At 40.1% G+C, this 26,356-nt stretch overlaps 1 protein-coding gene across 26 annotated transcripts in view; it reads right to left on the bottom strand.

Moving 5' to 3' along the window:
• Positions 1–26,356, bottom strand: part of CPEB1 (cytoplasmic polyadenylation element binding protein 1) — a 105,595-nt gene that overhangs the window by 70,707 nt on the left and 8,532 nt on the right. For 11 of the 26 annotated variants that reach the window (NM_001365245.1, NM_001387069.1, NM_030594.5 and 8 more), the window contains one exon: positions 13,286–13,460. Coding sequence is in view for 12 of the 26 variants with exons in the window: in NM_030594.5 (NP_085097.3) it covers positions 13,286–13,460 (175 nt within the window). In the remaining 14 variants the exon portion in view is untranslated. Of the gene's footprint in view, positions 1–13,257; positions 13,461–14,456; positions 14,650–19,264; positions 19,315–24,657; positions 24,728–26,356 lie in introns of all 26 variants that reach the window. The other 15 variants (NM_001365240.1, NM_001387062.1, NM_001387065.1 and 12 more) reach the window with 5 other exon arrangements.

Below are 26,356 nucleotides of genomic sequence, written 5' to 3' on the forward strand. Positions count from 1 at the left end.
GGAAGGGACTGGCCTCCTTGGGAGGCTCCCAGGATCCTCTTCAGCCTCGCTGCTTCTGAGTCCCTGCCGGCAAGCCTCCGCCAAGCAGTGGCCTTGCTGATGCCTGGGGAAGCCCACCGGGAGAGAGACACACACCCTGGGTGGGACCCTGGGGCTCTAAGACTCCCTACCCTGGGACGGCCCCAGGGGCTGCTGGAAAGGGACTGGCCTCCTCGGGAGGCTCCCAGCGTCCTCTTCGTCACTCCTAACCACATAAAAATATGGGTCTTGCTCCCAGGCTGGAGTGCAGCAGCATTATCACAGCTCACTGAAGCCTCGAACTCCTGGGCTCAAGTGACCCTCTCACCTTAACCTCCCAAAGTGCTGGGATTACAGGCACGAGCCACTGCACCCAGCTGTAATATTCTATTTCTTGACCTGGGTAGTGGTTATGTGGGTGTCTGCTGTATAACTGATTAAAATATACAGGTGTTTTATGCAAGTTTCCATATATTCTATGTTTAACAATTTGGAAAAGTCCATCAAACTAGTCCAAGAATTAAACAAAACACAATGATAATCTAAGTAATCACTAAAAATTACTGAAGTCTAAATAAATACTGATTGTGAACACATACATACACACAAAACTGCAAGTAAATTCCTAGATATTATCAGTACCAAATGTGGGGGGGAGTACAATTTGAACACAAAATGAGGGCCTTTTTCAGCTTAGGCACCCAGTTTGAGAGAATGTATTCATTAAGCAATTGTATAATGTTACCTAACATGCACCAGGCCCAATACTGAGGATTAGAAATCCAAGGATTTCAAAAGATCTTTAAAAAAAAGAAAGAAAGAAACGAAACGAAACCCAAGGATATTTAAGACCTAGTCCTTACACATTCTTCAAGAGACTTACAGTATAAACAGAAAACCTAGTTCAACTCTTTAAAATATAAGTGTGTGTGTGTGTGTGTGTGTGTGTGTGTGTATATATATATATGACCTCAGCCAACGCTCTCACAACTGCATCTTTATATACCCACACTATCACAATCACTATCACCATTTAGTAAGTGCAGTTATGTGCATCATTGTAGATAGTATTCAATACAAATCTTATTTAAGCTTCACAAAACCCCTACAAATGGGTACTATTTCTACCTATGTGTCTAAAGAGGAAATTTAAACTCAGAGTGTAAGCCAAGGTCACAGCAAGTAAGTAGCACGACCAGAATTTGTTCTCAGGTCATCTGCATTCAGAGCCTGTACCCTATCTTTGTTTGGGTTTATTATGAAACGGACAATGTTTTTTCAAAACTGTACCCTATCCTCCCATTTTAAGAATGTATATGTTTACACCACCACATGATGGATCCACAAATAAACACGAAGAGCCAAGAAGGACCTTGCTTCATCTCACAGATTGACAGACTACAGAACATTGGAGGCAGGACAGTGTTATAAAGTTTCTGAAGTGACAACCAAGCCAACTTTGAATAAAATAATTTTTTCTAGGAAGACAGTCAATTTAGTTGTCAACTATGTAGCAGAAGAGCATTCATTGCACAACTTCATCTGTCAGTGATTTTAATTATATAATATGCATGGAATGTCAAGAAACAGCAGACAGAATGGCATAAAGGGAAAGAACCCTGGGACACAATTCTAGAAACTTACTCTGGGTTGATGCCAGATCATATATGCTACACGTATTATTTTAACTTCAGAAAATATTTTATAATATAAAGAAAACAAAATCAAGTTGGATTTACAGCTATATCAACTGGAATTTTGAAGTATGACAACATCTAGAGTCTACATGGAATGTGACTGAAAACTCATGAAATCCTAGCAGGATTATAAACTGGTAAATGCACTTTGAAAAAGTACCCAGCAACTTGAAGTGTGAAGACAATATACCAAACTCTGCAATTAACTTCTAGGTACATACTCAAGGAAGCTCTTGTGATGTGGGCACAGGAGACTTAAACAAGGATGTTCACCAAAATACTGTTTATAATAGCAAAAAATATATATTTACCTAAATACAGCAAAAAATATACACCTAAACATTTACCAAGAGGAATATTGTATATATTTATGTAAAATATTACTACAAAGCAATTAAAATGTATTGATTTTACTTACAAATAACTATCAATATGTACACATTATAAATATGACACATGGAGAAAAGCAAATGCCAGGAAGATAATGTCATATTCTTTGCATAAAGATTTAAAACATATGACAATCAGGAGGCGGCATGAGGGGTCTTCTTAGTTGCTTATATCATTCTATTTCTTGATTTGAGCTTGAGAGCATGAGTGTATTTGTTTTGTGACAATTTACCCAGTTATATACTTTAAACTGTGCATTTTCCTCAGTGTATGTTTTATTTACATAAAAATGTAAAACGATGTTTATGGACATACACAGAGAAGTATAAAAACACGGATGGGAAGGAAATATACCAACTTCAGGAGAGTTATCTCTAGGAAAATGAGGAAAAGAGTACACTTAAGTGCAAAACTTTTATTTGATGTTTATATTGTCTGAATAAAGGTCTGAATCAAACATATCAAAATCTTAACATTTGTTAAAGATCGGTGGTAAATACATTATTTTACATTCCTCTTTTTAAATTTTTTTTTTTTTTTTTTTGAGACGGAGTTTCGTTCTTGTCATCGCCCAGACTGGAGTGCAGTGGCATGATCTCAGCTCACTGCAGCCTCCACCTCCCGGGTTCAAGTGATTATCCTGCCTCAGCCTCCCAAGTAGCTGGGATTACAGGTGCATGGCACCACGCCTGGCTAATTTTTGTATTTTTAGTAGAGACAGGGTTTCACCATGTTGGCCAGGCTGGTTAAAATTTTTAAAAGCAAAAAACCCTATAAAAGCAAATATATGCATTTAAATCCTACCATTCAGAGATAACTATGTTTACAAAGGTTAACAGCTTTGAGACATAACTGACATATAAACTGCATGTATTCAAAGTGTAGAATTTGATATGTTTCAACCTATGTATACATACCCACGAAACCATCACCAAAAGTCAAGGTAATAAACATATCCATCTTCCCCAAAAGTTTATTTATTTCATTATTTGACCACTTATCGTCAAGTTCTGCCCCAAAAGTTTAATACCCTTTTGAAATCCTTTCCTACCTACCTCTGAGTCCTCTTGCCCAGGCAACCACCGATCTCCCTGCTGTCACTGGAGGTTAGTTGGCATTTGATAGAATTCTGTGCCAACAGAATTATGTGGTATATACTCTTTTGTCTGGCTTCTTTCACTGAACATAATTATCCTGAAATTCATCCATGTTGTAGTAGCAACAATAGTTTATTCCTCTTTACTGCTGAGCAGTACTCCTTTGCATTTGTTTATCCATTCATCTATTGATGGACATCTGGGTTGTTTCCAGGTTTTGGCTATTATATATAAAGAGGCTATGAACATTTGTGTTAAGTTTGTATACGGTAAATGGTTTCATTTCTCTTGAGTGTGACCAACACTACTCAAAACTGTCAACATAATCGAAAATAAGGGAAGTCTGAGAAACTGCCACAGTCTGGAGGAGCCCACATGATGAATAATGTGATATCCTGGGTGGGATCCTGGTACAGAAAAAGCACATTAGGTAAAAACTAAGAAAATCCAAATAAAATACAGACTACAGTATCAATATTGCTTCACTAGGTGTGACAAATGCACAATAATAATGTAAGTTGTTAGCAAAATAGGGGAAATTAGGTACAGGATATACAGGAATTCTCTATGCTAGCTTTGTAACTTTTCTATTAATTGTTATTAATTCTATTAAAGTTTTTTTTTTTTTTTTTTTTTTTTTTTGAGACGGAGTCTCGCTCTGTCGCCCAGGCTGGAGTGCAGTGGCGGGATCTCGGCTCACTGCAAGCTCCGCCTCTCGGGTTCACGCCATTCTCCTGCCTCAGCCTCCCAAGTAGCTGGGACTACAGGCGCCCGCCACTACGCCCGGCTAATTTTTTGTATTTTTAGTAGAGACGGGGTTTCACCGTTTTAGCCGGGATGGTCTCGATCTCCTGACCTCGTGATCCGCCCGCCTCGGCCTCCCAAAGTGCTGGGATTACAGGTAAAGTTTTTAATTTTATTAACTTTTGTAACTTCTTTGTAACTTTTCTATTAATTGAAAGCTATTCTAAAATGTAAGCTTATTAAAAAAAAAAAGAGTGGAACCACTGGGTCTTATGGTAGGTAAACATTTAACCTTTTAGGAACCTGCCAAACTGTTTTCCAAATAGTTGTACCATTTTGCATTCCTACCAGCAGTTTGACAGTTTCAGTTATTCAACATCCCTGCCAATTCTTGGTAAGGTCAGTCTTCTCAATTTTAGACATTCTAAGAGGCAAAAACACTTTTTGTGTATATTTTGTCAACATATATATTGAAAACACACATAAATACACATATGTATATTCTCTCTCATATACACTTTGACAAATGCACAATACGTATGTATGTATATATGAGACAGAATATGTATATTCTTCAAACAAGATCAGCAAAATCAGACTTCCTGGTTCCTATAGCAAACTGGCAGTTGCCTAGATCCAAATCTCTCCATATATCCTCTAAAACTCACAGATGAACAAAAGCAATAAAACTCACATCTCAAAACTATAGACTATTTGGGAGACAGGTTACCTCAAACAATTTGCACATAAGAAGGACTCAAATGTCCAAAACCTGAAATATCTACTTCTGGAGCCAACACTAGATAGGGCTGTCACAGCAGCAAACAAACAGAAAATGGCACTAAAAAACAAACAAACAAAAAACTCCTTTACAATAGCATTAAATACCATCAAAACCTAGAGATAAACTTAAAGAATCTGCAAGACATCTACAAACACTAAGAAAATTTTTAAAGACCAGATAAGCAAAGGGATATATCAACTTCTTGAATTGGAAGACTTGTCAACATATCCATTATCCAGAACTTGATTCATAGGTTCAACGCAATCCCAATCAAAATCCCAGTAGAACTTTGTGTATGTGGGGCAGGGGGTGGAGCTTGGACTGATGAGCTGAATCTATAATTTATATAGAAATGTGAAGATCCAAGAAAAGCCAAGAATCCAAAAAGACAAAGTTGAAGGACTTCACTACCAACTATCAAAGCCTATTATAAAGCTACAATAATTAAGACACAAGGACAGATAAATAGATCAATGGAAGAGAAGAGAGTATCCAGAAACGGATCTGTACATATACTATGGATGCCTGATTTATGAGAAAGGCAACATGGCAATACAATTTAAAAGAATTTTCTTTCACCAAAATGATGCTGAGTCAACTGGCTATCCACACAGAACAAAATTAATCTTCCCCTTCTTATACCATGTACAAAACAAAATTCCAGATGGGTTGCAAATCTAAGTGTGAAAGGTAAAACAACTTTAGAAAAGAAACATATACTACCTTCATGACCTTGGAATAGGCAAATATTTCTTAAACAGGCCACAAGCATTAAACACAATGGAATAAAGTCAGTAAATTATACTTCATTACAATTTAAGTTTTCTGTTATTCAAAAGACGCCAATTAAGAGTACAAAGACAAATCACAGACTCAAAGAAAATAATTTTAATACATATTTCAGACAAAGAACTCATATGTGGCCTATATAAAGAACTGCTACAAGTAAACAAGAAAAAGGTAGATAACCCTAAGAAAAATGAGTATAAGGCCTGAAGAGACACTTCAAGAAAAAGGATATCCAAAGGCCAGTAAACATGAAAATGTGCTCAACTTCATCAGTCACTAAGGACATGAACATTAAAACCACAACAGATACTGCTACATACACCCCAAAATGGCTAAAATGAAAGACAATACAATTATTGATGAGGATATGAAACAACCCAAACCATCGTACACCACTGGAAGTGTAAACTGGTATAACCACTGAGAAAAACTGGCAGCATCTCAAAGATAAACATACGTATACCCTATGACCCAACAATCCCTCTCCTAGGAAGATAACCAAGGGAAATTAATTCACCAAAAGATAATAGCAGCACTATTCGCAATGGCCCCAAACTGGAAACAACTCAAATGCCTATTAACAGTATAATGAATAAGCACTGGTACATTCATACAATGGAATACTGTAAAGCAACAGGAATCAATGACCCACAACCAGTTGCAACATGGATGAAACTCACAGCTAAAGAGTACATATCTGGGCCGGGTGTGGTTGCTCACCCCTATAATCTCAGCACTTTGGGAAGCCAAGGCAGGCGGATCACGAGGTCAGGAGTTTGAGACCAGCCTTGCCAATATGGTGAATATGGCCAGTATGTCTCTACTATGTCTCTACTAAAAATACAAAAATTAGCCGGGTGTGGTGGCATGTGCCTGTAGTCCCAGCTACTTGGGAGGCTGAGGGAGAAGAATCCCTTGAACCTGGGAGGCGGAGGATGCAGGGAGCCAAGATCACACCACTGCACTGTAGTCTGGGCGACAGAGCAAGACTCTGTCTCAAAAAGAAAAAAAAAGTGTACATATCTGTGATTCCATTTATGTAAATTCAAAATCAGGTACAATTTATCTATGCAATTAAAAGTCAGCATGAACTGGGTGTGGTGGCTCATGCCTATAATCCCAACACTTTCGGAAGCCAAGGCAAGGAATTTGCTTAAGCCCAAGAGTCCAAGACCAGCCTGGTCAACACAGCAAGATTCTGTCTCTACAAAAACTTAAAAAAAAAAATTAGTTGGGCATGGTGGCGCATGATTGCAGTCCCATCTACTCAGAAGGCTGAGGCAAGAGGATCACTTGAGCCCAGGAGTTCAAGGCTGCAGTGAGCTATGATCATACAACTGTGCTGCAGCCTGGGTGACAGTGATACCCCATCTCAGAAAAATAAAAATTTAGCATAACAAGTGCCCTTTGTAAACTAGAGACTGAAAGGACTGCAAGGGGAATTTTGGTGTATTCTTAATTTTTGCCTCTACATGTGACTAGTTATACAAGATGTGTTCAGTATATAAAAATTCAGTGAATAGTACACTCATACTTTTCTGTAAGTTAACTTCAACAACACAAGTTAAATCGTTGCCACTTAACTGTTAAAGCCACACAGTAAGGTTCCATAAAAGTTTATTTTGTGGGAAACAAGACTTCATGAGAGTAATTTCAATCATTTCCTGCAAGATGGGACTGAATGTATTAAACTTTGTTTTGGAATAGCTTTTCAGACAATTTAGTGACGATACGGTTTATGATCCAGTACAATAAGAAGTGAAACCATCTCAGTCAAAAATTCAACATTAGTCATGCCAGTAATCCCAGCAACTTGGGAGGCTGAGGCAGGAGGATGGCTTGAGGCCAGGAGTCTGAGACCAGCCTGGGCAACACAGTGACACCATGTCTCTTAAAAAAAAAAAAAAAATCCAGGCCAGGTGCAGTGGCTCACGCCTGTAATCCCAGCACTTTGGGAGGCCGAGGCAGGCGGATCACCTGAGGCCAGGAGTTCAAGACCAGCCTGACCAATATGGAGAAACCCCGTCTCTACTAAAAATACAAAATTAGCCAGGGGTGGTGGCACATGCCTGTAATACCAGCTACTCAGGAGGCTGAGGCAGGAGACTCACTTGAACCCGGGCAGAGGTTGCGGTGAGCCAAGATCCCGCCATTGCACTCCAGCCTGGGAAACAAGAGTGAAACTCCATCTCAGAAAAAAAAAAAAAAAATCTAACATCAGGCTACAACTATACAATTCTTTGGTCCTACATTAAAAGTCAGCAGTCTATTTAGGTCTGAGAGCTGGTTACATGGTTGTGTTCAGTTTGGGAAAGTTGGAGCTCTTCGCCTATGATACAGCATGTACTTTCCTGTATGTGTATTATATTTCAGTTTTTAAAAACTGTTAAATAAACATATCAGTGCTAAACCTTACTTAGGACTGCTTTGGCTAGTCAATTCCTTTCTAAACCTCCAAGCTATTTTAACTGATTATTGAGAAATGGCATCTCAGTGAATTAATATGAAACTGCTCCTCCAATCATTGCCTCCATCCTAAATATTAAGTCTCCCTACCCATATAGCAGTTAAGACATCCCTTAATGATGTTTCACCACTTTTCACATCTTTACAGACACCGTTACTAACAACTCAACACATTAATGCTTAAATCACATGTCCATTTGCAGCCCATTTTCTCCATTCCTCACAGATTCCAAAAGGTCTATGGCTTAAAGGACTAGGGAATGTGGAGAGGGCCCTCTAGGTGGCAGACATCCCTGTCATCTCCACTAGACAGTTGTTGGGGTAGGAAATCCAGCTCTGGCCTGACCTTCCAGCCCCACCCTAGCTCCTACCACCCATCATGCAACAAGGGCCTTCTTGGTGGGGTACTAGCCCAAAAGCTCAGGCCTTTGCAAAACCCTCTTAAACCACAGCAAGTCATAACTTTCTTGTATATAAACGGGGAATTCAGATGCTCCAGCTACTCTTTCCCTGCCCCGCCACATCTCTCTCCAGAGTCGCACTCTATCACCCAGGCTGGAATACAGAGTGCAACCTCGGCTCACTGCAACCTCCGACTCCCCGGTTCAAGCAATTCTCCTGCCTCAGCCTCCCGGACTACAGGCACGCACCATCATGCCCGGTTAATTTTTCTATTTTTAATAGAGACAAGGTTTCGCCATGTTGGTCAGGCTGGTCTCAAACTCCTGACCTCAAGTGATCTGCCCACCTCGGCCTCCCAAAGTGCTGAGATTACTACAGGCATGAGTCACTGCACCCAGCCCACATCTCTTCTTCATTAATTTCTATTCAGTCAGGGATAGACAGCAAGTCAGCTGTCTAACCAGGGGTTCAACCTTGTCTTCTTTCTTGGAAGCATTCTCCATCTATACAAATACTTCTCTTGGAAGACCCTCTTGCTTGGCTTAAATGACAAAGCCACATCCTACCCCACCCTCCTCCACGGACGGGGACGGAATCACTTCAAATGCTACCCCCCTCCTTATGTGATCCTCTTTATAAGCCAGGGAAGGGTTGAGCTAATGTTTGTGGTAGGAGGGACAGCTCTGTGACCTTTTGGTAAGCCCTGGCGGGAGGTATCTGGTCCCACCTCTTAGGGATTCTCATTACACCACAGGTCATTTAACAGCTCTTTAGTCTCAGCTTTGGGCCCTAATGGCCAATTCTGGAGCAACAGAAAAAAAATAATCTACTCAACATCCAGTTAAGACTAAAGTAATTTTAATTCTCTTCAAAGCCTATTTCAAATGCTGCTTTAACCAGAAGTGTTTCCTAGTTCTCAAACCAAACCAACCTCTTCCTGACCCTATCACAGCACTTTTCCAATGATGCTTTATCAACTGGGTTATGCATGCAACTAGCAATGTGAAACACTGTGTTAGGAAACACACCATTTGAAAATTTATTACAAAATGTTTGTTTTAGAAGAACTAGTGGGGAAAAGCATACAGAAAAAAATTACCCAGCCAGGTGCGGTGGCTCACGCCTGTAATCCCAGCAGTTTGGGAGGCCAAGGCAGGTGGATCACTTGAGGTCAGGAGTTCAAGACCAGCCTGGCCAATGTGGTGAAACCCCCATCTCTACTAATACAAAAATTAGCCAGGCGTGGTGGGGCATACCCGTAATCCCAGTTACTCAGGAGACTGAGGCAGGAGACTCACTTGGACCCGGGAGTTGGAGGTTGCAGTGAGCCGAGATCACGCCACTGCACTCCAGCCTGGACAACAGAGCGGGACTCCGTCTCAGGAAAAAAAAATTACCCATAATTTTTTTCTGCTATTACCTACCTTCACTGTCACATTTATATCATTCCAGTGTTTTTCTATGCATATATATTTAAGGCCATTCTTTTTACACTTTTTTTTACACCTGTTTTACACTTCGCTTTTTTTCATTTCAGACACTGTAGTTATCTTTCTTTGCCATTAAGTAGTCTTCTATAAACATTATATTTTATGGTACATGATATTCCATGGTATAGCTCTCCTATCATTTACTTAACATTCTGTTGCCAAATTGTCCCTAGTTATAATGCTGTCCATAAACAATCTTAGGTTTTCATAATTCTGATTATTTCCTTCAAGGAACAAAATTACTTTTGATCAGAAGCTACAAGTTTGGGTTATTTCTTAAGGTTCTTCATAGAAAAATATATATCCTAGTTTACTTTCTCATTAATCACAAGGTTGGTATTTTTGCTGGTGACCACAGAAAAAATGCTCTCTGCTGTAGGCCAGGCATCCTTGTTTCACCATTCGAGAATACAGGCCCACAGCCCTGAGCTGAATCACAAGTGGAAAGCAGAGAGAGTTCACCACACATGGGAGGGGCTGGGTATACGTGAAAGGCTCAAGAACATCAGCTACCTTTGACAGAAACCTTTCCTAGAATTCCTTGAGTTCCCTTAAATCTGCAGTATTGTCTTAACATCTGAGCCCCATAAGAAACCTGTGAGGCAGGTTGAGCAGGTACCATTCTGTCCTGCAGCTGAGAAAACTGACCTCTTTATCTCACTGCCCAGGGTCAAGCTTAGAACCCAGGTTTCCCAATTTCCTCAAGATCTTCCTCCTGCTTCTCTTAGAATGTTCTAAGAGGCTGAGAAGGAGCTGAAGAGCCCGAGAAGTCTTTAACTTGTACTTCGGCTACTGACCCTGGGCAGAGTATAATGGTAACAACATCGTCACCAGACCCTGGCATCTTACCAGTGAAGTCACTGGGCTCCCTGGACAGCTGCAAACATACACTCTGGAAAGCTCCTCTCCCATCAATCATGGGTCCTTTCCCTGAAGTCCAACACCTAGTATTAGCTGAAAAATATTTTCCTGTAAACTAGAAAAGTTTCCAGCATCTCTGAAACAACCCAGTGAGGTTTAAGTCATTGTTGAATTGTTGAGTGTCATACTTTTTTTTTTTTTGGCAGAGGTGGGCAGGGGTCCTGCTCTGTCACCCAGGCTGTAGTACAGTGCCACAACCACAGTTCACCGCAGTCTCGACCTCCCAGGCTCAAGTGATCCTCCCACTTCACCCTCCAAGTAGCTGCAACTAGGTGCACACCCCACATCTGGCTAATTTTTCTATTTTTTTGTAAACGGGGTTTCACCATGTTGCCCAGGCTGGTCTCAAACTCCTGGCTTCAAGTGATCCACCTGCTCCAGCCTTAATTACAGGCTTAAGTCACCATGCCTGGCCTGTCATTCTTACTGGGACATAATACATGCAATTTTCTCAAAGGAGAAAAACAGAACATGTATTAGAACTAAGAAAGATGACTCCCTGAACTTTTAACTCAGCGTAAACTAAAAGAGAATTGGGCTAGCTCATGACTTACATTTTTCTTTTGTACAAGTCAGAAGAGACAAAAACCACCCCCACCCCCAAGTATGCCCTTCTCTCATTTGCCTTCCTGTACGACAGAAGCAAATGCCACAAGTTAGTCACTCCCTTAATATGCCTCTCCCTCAAACATTACGCTATTTACTGCTCACATACTCCTGCATTTTTGTGGGAATTATTTCTAACGCCAAGTTAAAAAAATAAATAAAAGAATTTACAACTAAAAACAGTAGTTGTCCTTTGGTATATGTAGGGAATTGGTTCCAGGACCCCCAGAGTATACCAAAATCCGCACATACTCAAGTCTTGCAGTTGGTCCTGAGGAACCCACCTATACCAGAAAAGTCAGCCCTCCATACGTGTGGGTTTTACATCCCTTGAATACCACATTTTCCAGCTTTGGTTGAAAAACATCTGCATGTAAGTGGACCTGCACAGTCCAACGTAGTGTTGCTCAAGGGTTGACTGTAATTATCAGTCCTTGTTTTGAGAATCCCCATTGTGGCTAATTGTTTTCAAGGACCATTTTTAAAAATTAAACATATATTCTTTCATCTAAAACAACTGAAACAGGCCAGGCACAGTGGCTCGTGCCTGTAATCCCAGCACTTTGGGAGGCCGAGGTGGGTGGATCACCTGACGTCAGGAGTTTGAGACCAGCCTGGCCAACATGGCGAAACCCCATCTCTACTAAAAATACAAAAAATTAGCCAGGTGTGGTGGCGGGTGCCTGTAATCCCAGCTACTTGGGAGACTGAGGCAGGAGAATTGCTTGAACCCAGGAGGCAGAGGTTACAGTGAGCTGAGATCGCACCACTGCATTCCAACCTGGGCGAAAGAGCTAGACTCTGTCTCAAAAAAAAGAAAGAAAAACAAAATATAAAATAAAGGCCGGGTGCAGTGGCTCACACCTATAATCCCAGCACTTTGGGAGGCCAAGGCACGCAGATCACAAGGTCAGGACATCGAGACCATCCTGGCCAACATGGTGAAACCCCATCTCTACTAAAAATACAAAAATTAGCTGGGTGTGGTGGCGCGTGCCTGTAATCCCAGCTACTAGGGAGGCTGAGGCAGGATAACCGCTTGAACCAGGGAGTTGGAGGTTGCAGTGAGCCGAGATCACACCACTGCACTCCAACCTGGCAACAGAGTGAGACTCCGTCCCAAAAAACAAAAAGAAAGAAAGAAAAAGAAAATATAAAATAAAATAAATAACTCAAACCCAGAACACTTCAACATTCTTATAATGGGTTGCAACTCCCACAAAATTAAACACCATTAGGACATCCACACCTCTTGGAAAGAGTCAACTTCAGGGGATGCTGCCCTCTATCTCCACTATTCCTTGGAGTATCCAATAGATACAGAAACTAAATGCGTGCTGACTCATGTTTAAAAGCTGTTAAAACATTCGAGAGCTACACTGTCCAGTGCAGTAGCCACTAAACACCTGAAATGTCCATGTTGAGATATGCTTGTAAAATCCACACTGGATTTTGAAGTCGTAGTACTAATAAAAAAAATCTCATTAATAGTTTTCATATTAAATGTTGTCATATTATAATATATTGGGTTAAATAAAATATTAATTTCATCTGTATCTTAATTTTAACATGGCTACCAGAAAATCTGTAACATATGTGATCCACATTATATCTCTTTATATAAATACTTGTGTAATCTGTGACCTTTTCTTTTTTCCCCAACCTTTCTGTGTATCATAAAGTAGGTTTACACATCCTAATCAAAGGCAGTCTTCACCCAGAGAGGGATTCAATCCATAAACTAAACCACAAAAAGGCAAGTATTGCCAGCAACTCAACATTGTTCTTCACAAGCTTTCCAAGGAAGACCTCTTACATGCACTACTTAGAAGCAGATCTGTACAGATGCCTACCACGTTCAAGTTTTCAAACCTAAATCACCTGGCAAATGATCATGAATTCCTCGGTTTATAGGTGTAGTGCAGACTCTACTGAAATCCAGAGAATTATCCAATATGGCATTTATCCTTCGAAAGATATTGGCATTACTACACGTGGAGAGAGCAGGTGCTTCCTGGTTGTCCCAGCAATCTTTTATCCTTCCTGCTTCTTCTTCCTAGACACAGAAAAAAAAAGATATTTAGGTTTTCTACACTCCTTTATGACCCCCTTTCTCTCCACATTACGAATTAGATAAAGTAGGAAGGACTTAAGTATCTTCTTTATACATTAAAACACTTAATGAGTGTTTACTATGAGCTAAGTACTCGGAACTGTAAGAAAAAAATACCAAAATATTCTTGGCCAATTTGTGGAAAAATTTCCACAAAGGATACTATTAAGGAAGAGAATCAAGCACCAGGATTTAAGGCAAAAAGGGGTAGGCTAACTCTACTAGTTTTCTACAAATATAGTCAGGTTTATGATTAGGATTGCCTTTATCTATAAAGCTGCTAACCTCTGGGCCTTAAGGGAAAAGGTAAACACCAGCTGCCAGTCTTTTGGTTGTACAACAAGAAGGTCTGGACAAGAACTCTTTTTCAGAATTGGTTCAATTGATATTTTGTTCCTGGAGTCAGAAAGTACCTTGCCAGTAAAGGACTTTTTTTAATATATTAAAACACTTAATGAGTGTTTATGATGAACAAGGTACTCAGAAGTTCTTTTAATACTGGACAATGCCCCTGGCCACCCAGAATGCCATGAATTCAACAACAAAGAGGTATACATGCCCCCAAATACAACATCTCTAAGTCAGCCTCCAGATCAAGGGGTCATAAAGACCTTTAAGGCTCATTACACATGCTACTCTACAGAAAGGATTGTTAATGCTGTGGAAGAGAACCCCAATAGAGAGAAGGTCATGAAAGTCTAGAAGAATTACACCAGTGACAATGCCATCATTGTTACAGAAAAATCCATGAAAGCCATCATGCCCAAAATAATAAATTCCTGCTTAAAAAAACTGTTTCCAGATGTTGTACATGACTTCACAGATTTACCACAGAGCCAATACAGGAAATCATGAAAGAAACTGTAGATATGACAAAAAAAGGTTGGGAGTGAAGATTTCCAAGACATGGACCTTGGAGAAATCCAAGAGTTAACATACCAGAGGAATTAGCAGAAGACAATCTGATAGAGATGAGTGCTCCAAACCAGTGCCAGACATGGAAGACGATGTTGAAGTAGCAATGCCAGAAAACATATTGACATTAGATGATCTGGCAAAAGGGTTCCGATTATTCAAGGCTGCTTTTGACTTCTTTTACAATACAGACCCTTCTATTACACAGGCACTGAAACTAACGCAAATGGTGGAATTAGGATTGGTACCACATAGAAACATTTTTACAGAAATGAAAAAGCAAAAAGTCAGACAGAAATTATTTCTGTAAAGTTACACTGACTGTGCCTGCTTCTCCTTACATCCGCTCCACATCCTTCCACCTTTGCCACCCCTGAGAGAGCAAGACCAATCAATCCTTCCTCTTCCTCGGCCTGCTCAATGTGAAAACAGTAAATATGAAGATCTTTATGATTCACTTCCACTTAATGAACAGTAAATATATTTTCTCTTATGATTTTCTAGTAACATTTTTTCTCTAGCCTACTTTATCGTAAGAATACGGTATAAAATACATGTAACATACAAAACATGTGATCAACTGTTTATGTTATCGGTAAGGCTTCCGGTCAACAGCAGGCTATTAGTCAAGTTTTGGGGGAGTCAAAGTTATACATAGATATTTGACTGTGGGGGTTGGTCCTCCTAACTCCCACACTGTCCAAGAGTCAACTGGACTAAAAACCAATGAACTGTACATTAAAGGTGAACTTTAGGGTATGTAGATTTTATGTCAATACAGCTGTTTAAAAATTTTCATTCTGCCATTTATTGGCTGTGTGATATCACAGTTACTTAACCTCTATCCCTCAGTTTCCCCATTTGTGAAATGGAAAAAGGATACCAACTTTTTGATGACATATGTAAAGCATTTTGCATGGCATACAGTAGCTGCTAATTTGTATCTGCAAACACTAATTATTGAATACAAGAGAGGTAAGTACCAACAGTGGTAAAACCACCCAAACTGATTAAGTTATACAACTCTATGTGGTCATTATTAGTACATACAACTTTATTAACTGGCATGAGAAGATGGGTAAGACATTACCGAATGAAAAAAGAACTCCTATATATATATATAAAAAATCATGAACCCTTACACAAAAACTATTCTTTTGGTATTCCCTATCTCGGTAAATAACACCACCATCCACCAGATGCCCAAAGCAGAAATGTAGGTACCATTCTTCACTCCGGTCTCCCTCACTCTCCACAGCCAATGCCCAACATAAGAAGCAATGAAATATTGGTTGACAGATTGAGTTTTTTAAGGGGAGCCTGCCTCATCAGTTCTATTATCCTCAATTATCTTGCGGAAAACAAAAACAGACCAAGTAATGAAACTGGCACTTAATATCTCATAAGCTGGTCACATCAAAACAAAACAAGAAGAGGCCCAATGTCATTTTGTTTGGCCTACTAAAATCCAAGTGAGCATGAGAATGACCAAGAGCATTTACAGTTTTACCAACTCTGCAGGATGACCTTAAAGGGACAAACTTGAGCCTCACGTCAGCCTCAAGTTCTTGAAGATTGGTACCCTCTGCAAACTGTGAAGACGACCAAAATACACAATCCTACAAGGTTGTTTTCCCAAGCTCTCTAGAGTGGTGCCATTGAGAACTGTTAAATCCAGTGACACACAAGGCCCTTTTCACAACTGTAGATTTCTAAGCTGATTCTCAATTTCAGGAAGGCAACTTCATGAAGGCTAAGATGCAAAGATTTATAACCTGCAGAGAGGAGGTCTCGCTGTGTTGCCCAGGCTGAACTTGAAACTCCTGGGCTCAAGTGCTCCTCCCACCTTGGCCTCCTGAGTAGCTGAGACTACAGGCACGTGCCATTGCCTAGCACAATCTGCATTATCTTAAGGCTACATGCTTCATTCTTCACTGCCTAATAAACATTAGCCGACTGCCTGCTCTCTATAGTGAGCACCCCAAGGGGCAGCAGATTAGACACAGACTAAACCAAAATAAAGTTTTGAAGTCTGGAAAAGAACTTTTGGCAGGCAGGAGCTCAAAACCAGCCTGGGCAACATGGCGAAACCCTGTTTCTACAAAAAATACAAAACATTAGACAGGTATGGTGGTACATGCCTGTAGTCCCAGCTACTCAGGAAGCTGAGGTAGGAGGAATGCTTGAACCCAGGAGGCAGAGGTTGCAGTGAGCAGAGATTGTGCCACCACACTCCAGCATGGGTGACAGAGCAAGACCCTGTCTCAAAAAAAAAAAGAAAGAAAAAGAACTAAGACCCGATCCTGTAAACATCCACAACACAGACTACAACGTGCTGTAAATGTACATTGTCCTCCAAGCCAAGGTGGCCTGGAGGGACAGAATGTGCCTGGAAATGGGGGTAAAGAGGAAGTTCTAAAGAACACAAGAGAGTAGAGAGGCATTATCAAAAGTGGTCCAGTGTGGTACAGCATTAGGTATAGGAGAGAAAATTGGAAAAGCCTCATATGCCAAATTAAGGAGTCAGCATTGTCTTTCAATACACAAAATTGTGTCTTTTCAATACACAAAAATTAACCTAGCTTTTAATTACTGTAATAAAAGTACTATATATATATGGACTACATGGATTCCAGATCCTGGCCACATCTAAAGGCAAGTAAATAACAAAGTGAGTCTTAGAAGGAGACCACCAGCAACTACATGACAGATAAGTGGCAGAAGGATTAGTGAGAAAGTACCACAGTAGTCTAGGGAACAGATGCAGACTTGGGAGTCTGGGAGAAAGGTATTCCTTAGGAGAGGAAGGAAATCTTACTATTTCAAGGAGTCTGAAAAAAAAATCTAATTTAGGAATGTGTCTGGTCACCCTGCCCCACTCCTAATCCTGTTAGGAACATACACACCTTCCCAAATCAAGGCAAATGATATCTGACATGCCTCCCTCCCCTTCTCTCACATACATCAAGCCAGAGCTCTAGCTTAAGATGACATTATAATAAAAGTGAATGAGGTGTTCAATGTATATTCCAAACTGTTTCATCTTATAATTACCAATGTTTGCCTTAACCAATTTGGAAGGAAAAAAAAAAAATCAAAGCCAGGACTGTCAGATGGCGAACAGATCTACTACTCTCCTTTGTGTACAATAGGGATAAAAGTAATACTATCTCATAAGGCTTTTTGTGAATTAATGCACATAAAGTACTTAGCATAGGGCCTGACATGTAATTATGTGCTGAACCAACGAATACTGTCTATCAGTCGTATCATTATTATTATTCAGAGGCCACCACAGGGATCCTTGAGGAAGGATCTATTGGCTCATTAAGTGAACCAAAGACCTATGGCAACTATTTCTCTGAAGACTCCAGGCCCTTCTATTCCTGGTACCCCCTAACTCTTCCTCTTAATCATTTGACTTAAAATGCTTAATTAAAAGGCAAGAGATATGATTCAAATAGACCTAAGGGCTGAATCCACTACAGGTTCAGTATCTCTCATCAGAAATGCTGAGATGACCAAGAAGTGTTTCAGATTTGGATTTTTTTTTTTTTGGAAGCTGGAACATTTGCATATACATAATGACCTATCTTAGGGATAGGGCCCAAGTCTAAACACAGAATTCATTTATTTTTTTCTCTTTTTTTTTTTTTTTTTGAGACGGAGTCTCGTTCTGTCGCCCAGGCTGGAGTGCAATGGTGTGATCTCGGCTCACTGCAAGCTCCGCCTCCCGGGTTCACAGGATTCTCTCGCCTCAGCCTCTGGAGTAGCTGGGACTACATACGCCCGCCACCACGCCCGGCTCATTTTTTTGTATTTTTAGTAGAGATGGGGTTTCACCACATTAGTCAGGATGGTCTTGATCTCCTGACCTCATGATCCGCCCACCTTGGCCTCCCAAAGTGCTGGGATTACAGGCGTGAGCCACTGCGCCCAGCCAAATTCATTTATTTTTTATATATACTTCATACACATAGCCTGAAGTTAATTTTATACAATATTTTTAGTAATTCTGTACATGAAATTAAATTTTGACTGTGTTTTAACTGTCACCCATCATGAATTCAGGTGTCTAATTTCTACTTGTGACATACTGGTGTTCCAAAAGTTTCAGATTTTGGAGCATTTCAGATTAGGGCTGCTCGACATGTGTACTGTGTATATTCACACACACACACACACATTTTTTAAGAGATGGGGTCTTGTTCTGTCCCCTAGGTTGGAGCACAGTGCTGCAATCACAGCTCACTGCAGCCTTGATCTCCTGGGCTCAAGCAATCTTCCTGCCTCAGCGTCCCAAGTAGCTGGACTACAGACAGGCGCCACCATGCCCAGCTAATTTTTTTTTTTAACTTTTTTTTTTCCCCTCAGAGAAAAGGTCTCGCTATGTTGTCCAGGCTGGTCTTGAATTCCCGGGCTCAAGCGCTGCTCCTGCCTCAGCCTCTCAAAGTGCTGGGATTACAGGCATGAGCTACCACATCTAGCCAATACTGATCCTTTTAAACCGTCCAGTTATATGAATTCATAGTTCCTCATTTTCAAAACAGAAACCTACTATCCACCCCATACTCACAGACCCATTTACTTTGTGTAGTCCATCTGAACTTTCATCAATGTATAGATCTGCATTCAGACCAATGTTTTACCATGATAAAAAATGTTTTTCTCTTGGTTATTCTACTATTGCCTGACAGTTCCTGCCCTTATTTTCAGCATATTTTGCCATAAAGTGAGGTCACTTGTAGCTTTTTTTTGACCTTTAGTTGGTCTTCTACTGTCAACGGGAAAGAAGGCTTTAAGATAAATCAGAGACTTAATAGAGTGCAAACCTTAATACTACCGAAAATCAGGAGTCAACAGGAAGAATTACTTGGCAATGCTGTAAAACAAAAACAATTCTTTAATTAAAAAATTAATTTAAAAACAATTGTTTAATGCTAATGATATAGACACAAATACCCTCAAGATAAAACTAGTTCTACCTATCTACCTATTGTTAGAAAGAATGGCTTTTGAGGAAACTCACCTAATACAAGTTATTTTATTTGAGACAGAGTTTTGCTCTTGTCGCCCACGCTGGAGCGCAATGGCTCAATCTCCGCTCTCTGTAACCTCTGCCTCCCGGGTTCAAGTGATTCTCCTGCCTCAGCCTCCCGAGTAGCTGGGATTACAGGCATGTGCCACCACGCCTGGCTAATTTTTGTACTTTTGGTAGAGACAGGGTTTCACCATGTTGGCCAGGCTGGTCTCAAACTCCTGACCTCAGGTGATCTGCCTGCCTCAGCCTCCCAAAGCGCTGGGATTATAGGCATGAGCCACAGTGCCTGGCCCTAATCCAAGTTATTTTAGATCAGGCCTCAATTTTCTCCTCTCCAATAGATAAGAGCTGACACTCCTATCATGAAACTGTTTTCCTATAGCCATGATCATCAACTAGGACAACAAAGGTGAGGGAAATGGTCTGAAGAAAAGCATTTCCCTCCTCCACAAAGGAAAATCCTCCTCCTCCTCCTTAAAAGTGGGAATCATTGTTTTGAAAAGCAGAAAGAACACAGGCTTTGCAATACAAACACCAGGTCTACCACTTAGGTATCACTCTGAGCCTTGGTTACCTAAAGGTATAAAAAAAAAAAAAAGAGGGTAGCACCTACTTTGCAGACTTCGTAGTAGTCAGAAATACATAAAGTACATGGATATGCTCAATAAATACTTTTAGTGGCAGATGTCCAATTACACACCAGTTATTAAATTATATCACTGTTACTCAGAGGTATGGTTTCAACTTATTCATCCTAGCCAAGTTCATCAAGAAGCTTATTTACTTGTTTTAGCATATAACTGGTTTTTTTTTTTTTCCATCTATGGTTCAGAAGTATCACTCATAACTTTTTCTTTAAAAATCTGAACCACACTTTGTAGATATGTTTGCTAAAGATCCCCAAATTTTATATTTATTTGTATAGAAGAAATGAACAATTGTCTAATTTGGAAACCTTGGCCCTGCCTTTAAATATCATACTCCCCAGACCCAGCATTGTGATAGGATGGCCATTCTGGCAGCTCAAAATCTTTACTTGGGGATACTCACCTGTCGTAAATGAATGCCAACTATCATCTCTGGGTTGATTTTTATTCAGTTTGCCTTTAATGGACAACATAATACCAATGCTGAAGACCCTTCAAGACTATTACTATTAATCATGTACAATGGATTAATAGCCAGTTGAGAAATTTATAGAAGACTGTTTGAAGGGCCCAAGGTTTACTCAGTCCTCCAGAGAGAGTTCTAAAACTGGGGTCCCATGGATTGGAATGTAGTAATCCTCCTGACAAAAATGTGTTCACACTAAAAATTTTTCTGAAGTATTTTTCCTCCATTTAATCAGATGGTTTTTAAATGCATTGGTCTTGAACATTTAGACTTTTTTAATTAAGCCAGAGTAGCAGAAAGTAATATACTTAGATGTCCCAAATAACTGGTTCTGCTGAGACGTACTCTGGCAATTTGCCTTTATTTTTCTATTTTTATTTTTGAAACAGAGTCTCGCTCTGTCGCCCAGGAGTGCAGTGGTACAATTTCGGCTCACCACAACCTCCACCTCCTGGGTTCAAGCAATTCTGGTGCCTATGCCTCCTGAGTAGCTGGGACTACAGGCATGTGTCACCACACCCAGCTAATTTTTTATATTTTTAGTAGAGATGGGGTTTCGCCATGTTGGCCAGGCTGGTCTCAAACTCCTGACCTCAGGTGATCCGCCCGCCTCAGCCTCCCAAAGTGCTGGGATTACAGGCATGAGCCACATGCCTGGCCTGCCTTTAGTTTTATACCAATAATAAAGCTAAACAAAATTTCTATAGCACGGATACTCAGGATTTTAGGCATATTCTATTACGATTTTGAAGAGCCCTTATATGAACACTCATTTAGAGAAATGTCATTCAGACCACAGATCAGGAAATGCTACAGATTCCCATGAAGAATACATTTTCCTTATGGAAGAATGTAAGTCTTCTAGCCAAATTTCTCTATTTGCTTTAGTCACCAGCTCACTCAAAGCCAGATTTTGGCTCTACTTTAATGACTCTATAGTTTGCTGAGAGATGCTTCTCTGTGTTTAAATTTCTCCTTGGTCCTACCTCAAGTCTTCTATGCAACAATGTCAGGAATAAAAATTTATCAGGTTGGTCCATATGAAATTGTCAGTATTTTACCTTTTTCAACCAACAAAATGGCAATTTCACATAGTTCAACCTAATATTATTTCGTAAATGCTGACAACCCACTAGGTTAGATGTTGAGATTACAGATATGTATATATAAAACATACTCCTTGCCCTCAGGAGAATTATTCAGGTAGGAAAAAGAAACAAATCTAGTTAGCTAAGTGGAGATCAAGCATAAAATGCTATAGAAGAGAGGAATAAAGTAGGGTATCTAAAATGGTTTCACAACTCAGATGTTTTGGCTAGAGAATAATGAAAATGCAGAATTTCAATAAGCAGGCATGAGAAAAAGCATTAACACACAGAGAACAAGCACAGAGAGGATACAGAACACAGTAAATTCAAGAAAACAAAGTAGTCCAACAGGGCTGGACAGGAAGGCTCACCAGGAATAAACGAGATAAAGCTACAGGTCCTAACCTCCTTCCTGTGTCGGAAAGATAAATCCATCAACAGATACAAGATCTCCTCTCCCTGCATCACCTGACTTTCCTCTCTTCTCCACTGGCTCCCCTTCAGTTTGTCAGTATGTTCAAGACTCTTTCACCTTAAAAAACCACCACACCTTCCTTGATTTAAAATATCCTCCCAATTCATTGCCAATTTCTTCTGCTATACTATCAACCTTCTTGAAAATATATGATCTTTATTTAACTTCCTGTTCATCCTCTCAATCCACAATGTCCTGCCAGCACTGATCTCTCCCCTTCCCCAAAAAGACACTAAACAACTGCTCCCAAATTAATGCCTTCATAGCTGCCAAATCCAACTGATACTTCAAGTCTATCTTACCCTGCATCTTTGTAGGATCTGACCCTTCAGCTATTCTCCACTCAAGTCAGGAATCACTTTCTCCTGGCTCTCCCTTTCCATCTCTGGTTATTCTTCATTTTTCATAGGGTACATCTATTGTCCAATGTTCTTTTTGCTCTCTTAACTCAGTGTGGAAGAGGAAATACTACAATTTCCAGGACAGGTTTATGAGAACATTAGAGAATATTTCATACCAAAACACCTCAAGAATATTGAAAGCACATGGTCACTATAATTTTAACTCTCATCACTTACCTGTCACACTGCTAACTGTATGGACTGTAAGCTCACCAATCTGATAAACTATAAAGGTCCCTCACAACCTGTATCTCAGCACTGCCCCAGAATAGTATCTGCTGCATTTGCAGGCACTCAATACAGATACCACATGAAAGGCAGACCCGTATCACACTCCTGTCATAGGTATTTTTACCACCTCACTCATAACCTTCATAAATGGTAGTGACTCCTTTCTTAAGATTTTAGATACATCAAGAGAAATATTCATCAATTCTACCTCTTCTCCCTGTCAAAATTCTCAGCCACTAAAGTCATTTTGGGATTTGGGGTTTTAGGTTTGGACCACAGACCATTCTTCATCAATAAAAAAACAAAGGCTCCAGAGTTGTCTCAGAGCTGTTCTTGGACCTGGTCTCCATCACCTCTCCATATAATGCTTCTCTGGCTGCCTTGATGCAGAAGAGGGAACTTGGAGTCTGGGATTCTGATTTAAGCCCCAGTGCTCCATTAACTAGGGAACTTTGACCAAGATTTTCAATTTCTCTAAGCAGGTCTTTTTATTTGTAATGTGAGAATGACAGAGTCTCATAAATTCTCCTGAGGAATAAAAGAAACTAAAGGCTCTGGACAGTTGGTCTACATGACCCTACTCTTGCCCTCACCAATTTGACACAGCTTCCATTACTATCCTTTTTCTGCACTTACTGACAAGGTATCCTTCTTCCTATTTAAAAAGCAATTTTGGAGTCCATTTTTTCTCATACCCACAGGGCCTCTTGGTTATACCTGCCACAGCTCTCACACCTTTGTAAACATCATCAGGTCTCTCCCATGTTTAGAACTTTTCTTAACCCTGCTCTTCCCTCTAGTAGCCAGCCTGTCTTTCCCTAGCATCCCCATCAGCCCTCCGTACGGAGTACCCCATCTCTACGGCCTTTACTCATCTCTTTAACCCTCGAAGGCAAGCATCAGATGCTTCTCTCCCTTTCCACACATGCTATTCTGAAACACTTTTTTTCAAACCAAGTTCACTGTGCCTTATCAAATCCTATGGACATTTCCTGAGCCTTTTAAGACGTCTTCATTCCTGCCTGGATATTCTTACAGGATCTCTGGAAAGTACAAATCTAATCACCTACTCCAGAGGGCAGTGGTCCACAAACTTTTTGGTCTGAGGACTCCTTTATACTCTTAAAAATTACTGAGGTAATTTTAAGTACTTTTAATTACTCAAGAGCTTTTTGTGTAAGTAGGTCATATGAATATTCACCCATTAGAAATTAAAAAGGGGTAGATTTATTAACCATTAAAAAAACCTATTACATATTAACACAATGATTTTCCAAGACAAAAAAAATTTATGGAGTGGCATTGACATTTTTGCAGATCTCTTTAGTATCTGGTTTAATATAAGATAGCGGGATTTTCTGGTCTGTTTCTGTATTTAATGTGTTGTCATGTGTTATTCTGGTTGAAGTATATGAAGAAAATCCAGCCTCACACAGATACATAGTTGGAAAAAGGAGTATTTTAATATCATTGTCAGACAACTGTGGCTATTAATACTACACCAAAATTCCCAACAAATGGTAACTTCTTAAAGATTAGTTACAATATGGAATCTGAAACCATATGTACTCTTCATATGCTGTTACATTAAAACACATGGGTCAATCTTGCATTTTGGATGGATCTTTTACTCCTATCTGTTAGTCATTTGACAAATATTGGCTTGAATTATGCAAATATAACAAACGTTGACACACTAGTTAATAGTAAATAGTACCACCAATCTCACCAGGGGACTTCAAGTATTGGGGCAAGTGTCAAGCTCATGTGGTGGCAGATAAAGGTCTTCCAAAATTCTTATTTTTTTCTTCAGTGCTCAAATTGTATCACTGGCAACAAATAAAGTGAGCTATTTCTTATGAAGTGACTGACTTACTTGGTTGATTTTCAAGAAAATGTCTGCCAAATACCCAAAGTTGAATAACCATAGTTTGTTAGTTGTTCTTCTGGTAAAGAAAAAAAAGGTTTTCAAAGGAAAAAAAGAGGCTTATTCTTGAAACTCAGTCACATTTCCTTGAGACAATCATCATACTTGGATATGAAGCAAAAGTACTTTATACTGACTTCTCATTTGTCACACAGAATATTAAAGGCATATATTCAAGGGCTGAGATGTAATGAAATTAATTTTACTGCTTCCTCAAGGACATTTGTAAGTGACACTGGCTTTTCTGGGAATGTGTACCATGAAGAATACAATGACTGCTACTACAGTTTAATGGCATTGCCCTGATTCCTGCTAAGTAAGTGCCAGCTGTTTTACTCACCCCCATTGCTTTTGCACTATCGGTACAAATGTCAACACAGTGGGGTGGGGGAGCAGAAATCAACCACGTCTTAGAATTATAAAAATACTTCTGACTTTATAGCCTCTTAAAGGGTTTTGGTGACCACTAGGCAGGCATGGACCTAGCTTGGAGAACTGCTGCCACAGAGTAAAGGCCAAGTTCCTTATCAATAGCATATAAAACCCTTCATGGTCCGCCTTCAGCTTAGTGGCCAAGTTAAGTCCCTCCTGGTCTATTCCTACTTTATTCTGTTGTGTGTTCCCTCTCAATAAAAGGACAATAGTTATAAGTGTGTATCTTGATCAACATTCACTTATCTGTACATACCGGAGCAACCACCACACACAGCAAGACACAGAACATTTCCAACACTCTATAAGGTTCCCCTGTGCCCTTTCCCACACTATCCCCCAAAGAGTTTACTATTCAGGCTTCTGTTGTTACCAGTTAGTTTTGCCCATTTTTGAACCTCTTATAAATGCAATCATGTGGGTATTCTTTTGGGTCTGGCTTTTTTTTTTTCCCCACTTAACTTAGTATCTGACATGTCTACACATTAAAGTATAGAACAGTGGTTTTTATCACTGTGCTACATATTAATAGATGTGGATATATGTATTTATCCATATTCCTGCTCAAGGGTGTACAGAAAAGATTTAAAGTAACAGGTCTGACTGGTGTCTTTTAGCTACCATCTGGGAACCTAAATTTTGAGTTCCCACCATTCCCAGAACTGAGTGACTTACTATACCCAAAGGAACAAACAATATGGTTTATGCTGAACATCGGCTTTCCTCCTGGAGTCTGAAATTTTGGTACATTTCAGGCAGAGGCTACCTATTCAACCAGTCCTCAGACACACACGCGCAAACACTCTCTCTCTCTCTCTCTCTCTGGGTGCCCAGATTCTAACAAGCTATTCTGGCTGGCAACATTTTACATATGTTGTCAGTTGTAGGGGAATTAAACTATGTCCTGTTTAACTCTCCCGGGAAAAGAACATTGGAAGCTTGTACCAGATTTCACCCCACGTGCCTTTTCCCTTTGATGGTTTTTCTCCATATCCTTTAGCTGTAAGCTTAGCTATGAGAACCACTATATGCTGACTCCTGTGAATCTTCCTAGTCAATCATCTAATTTAGGCACTGTCTTGGGGGACCAGACATAACAGGCGTTTGTTGTTTTGTCCTATTTTTAGGGACAGGGTCTGGATATGTGGTCCAGACCAGAATTGAACTCCTAGGCTCAAGGGATTCTCCTGCCTCAGCCTCCCCGGTAGCTGGTACT

This window comes from Homo sapiens, chromosome 15, assembly GCF_000001405.40.
Source record: "Homo sapiens chromosome 15, GRCh38.p14 Primary Assembly".
Lineage (NCBI taxonomy): Eukaryota > Metazoa > Chordata > Mammalia > Primates > Hominidae > Homo > Homo sapiens.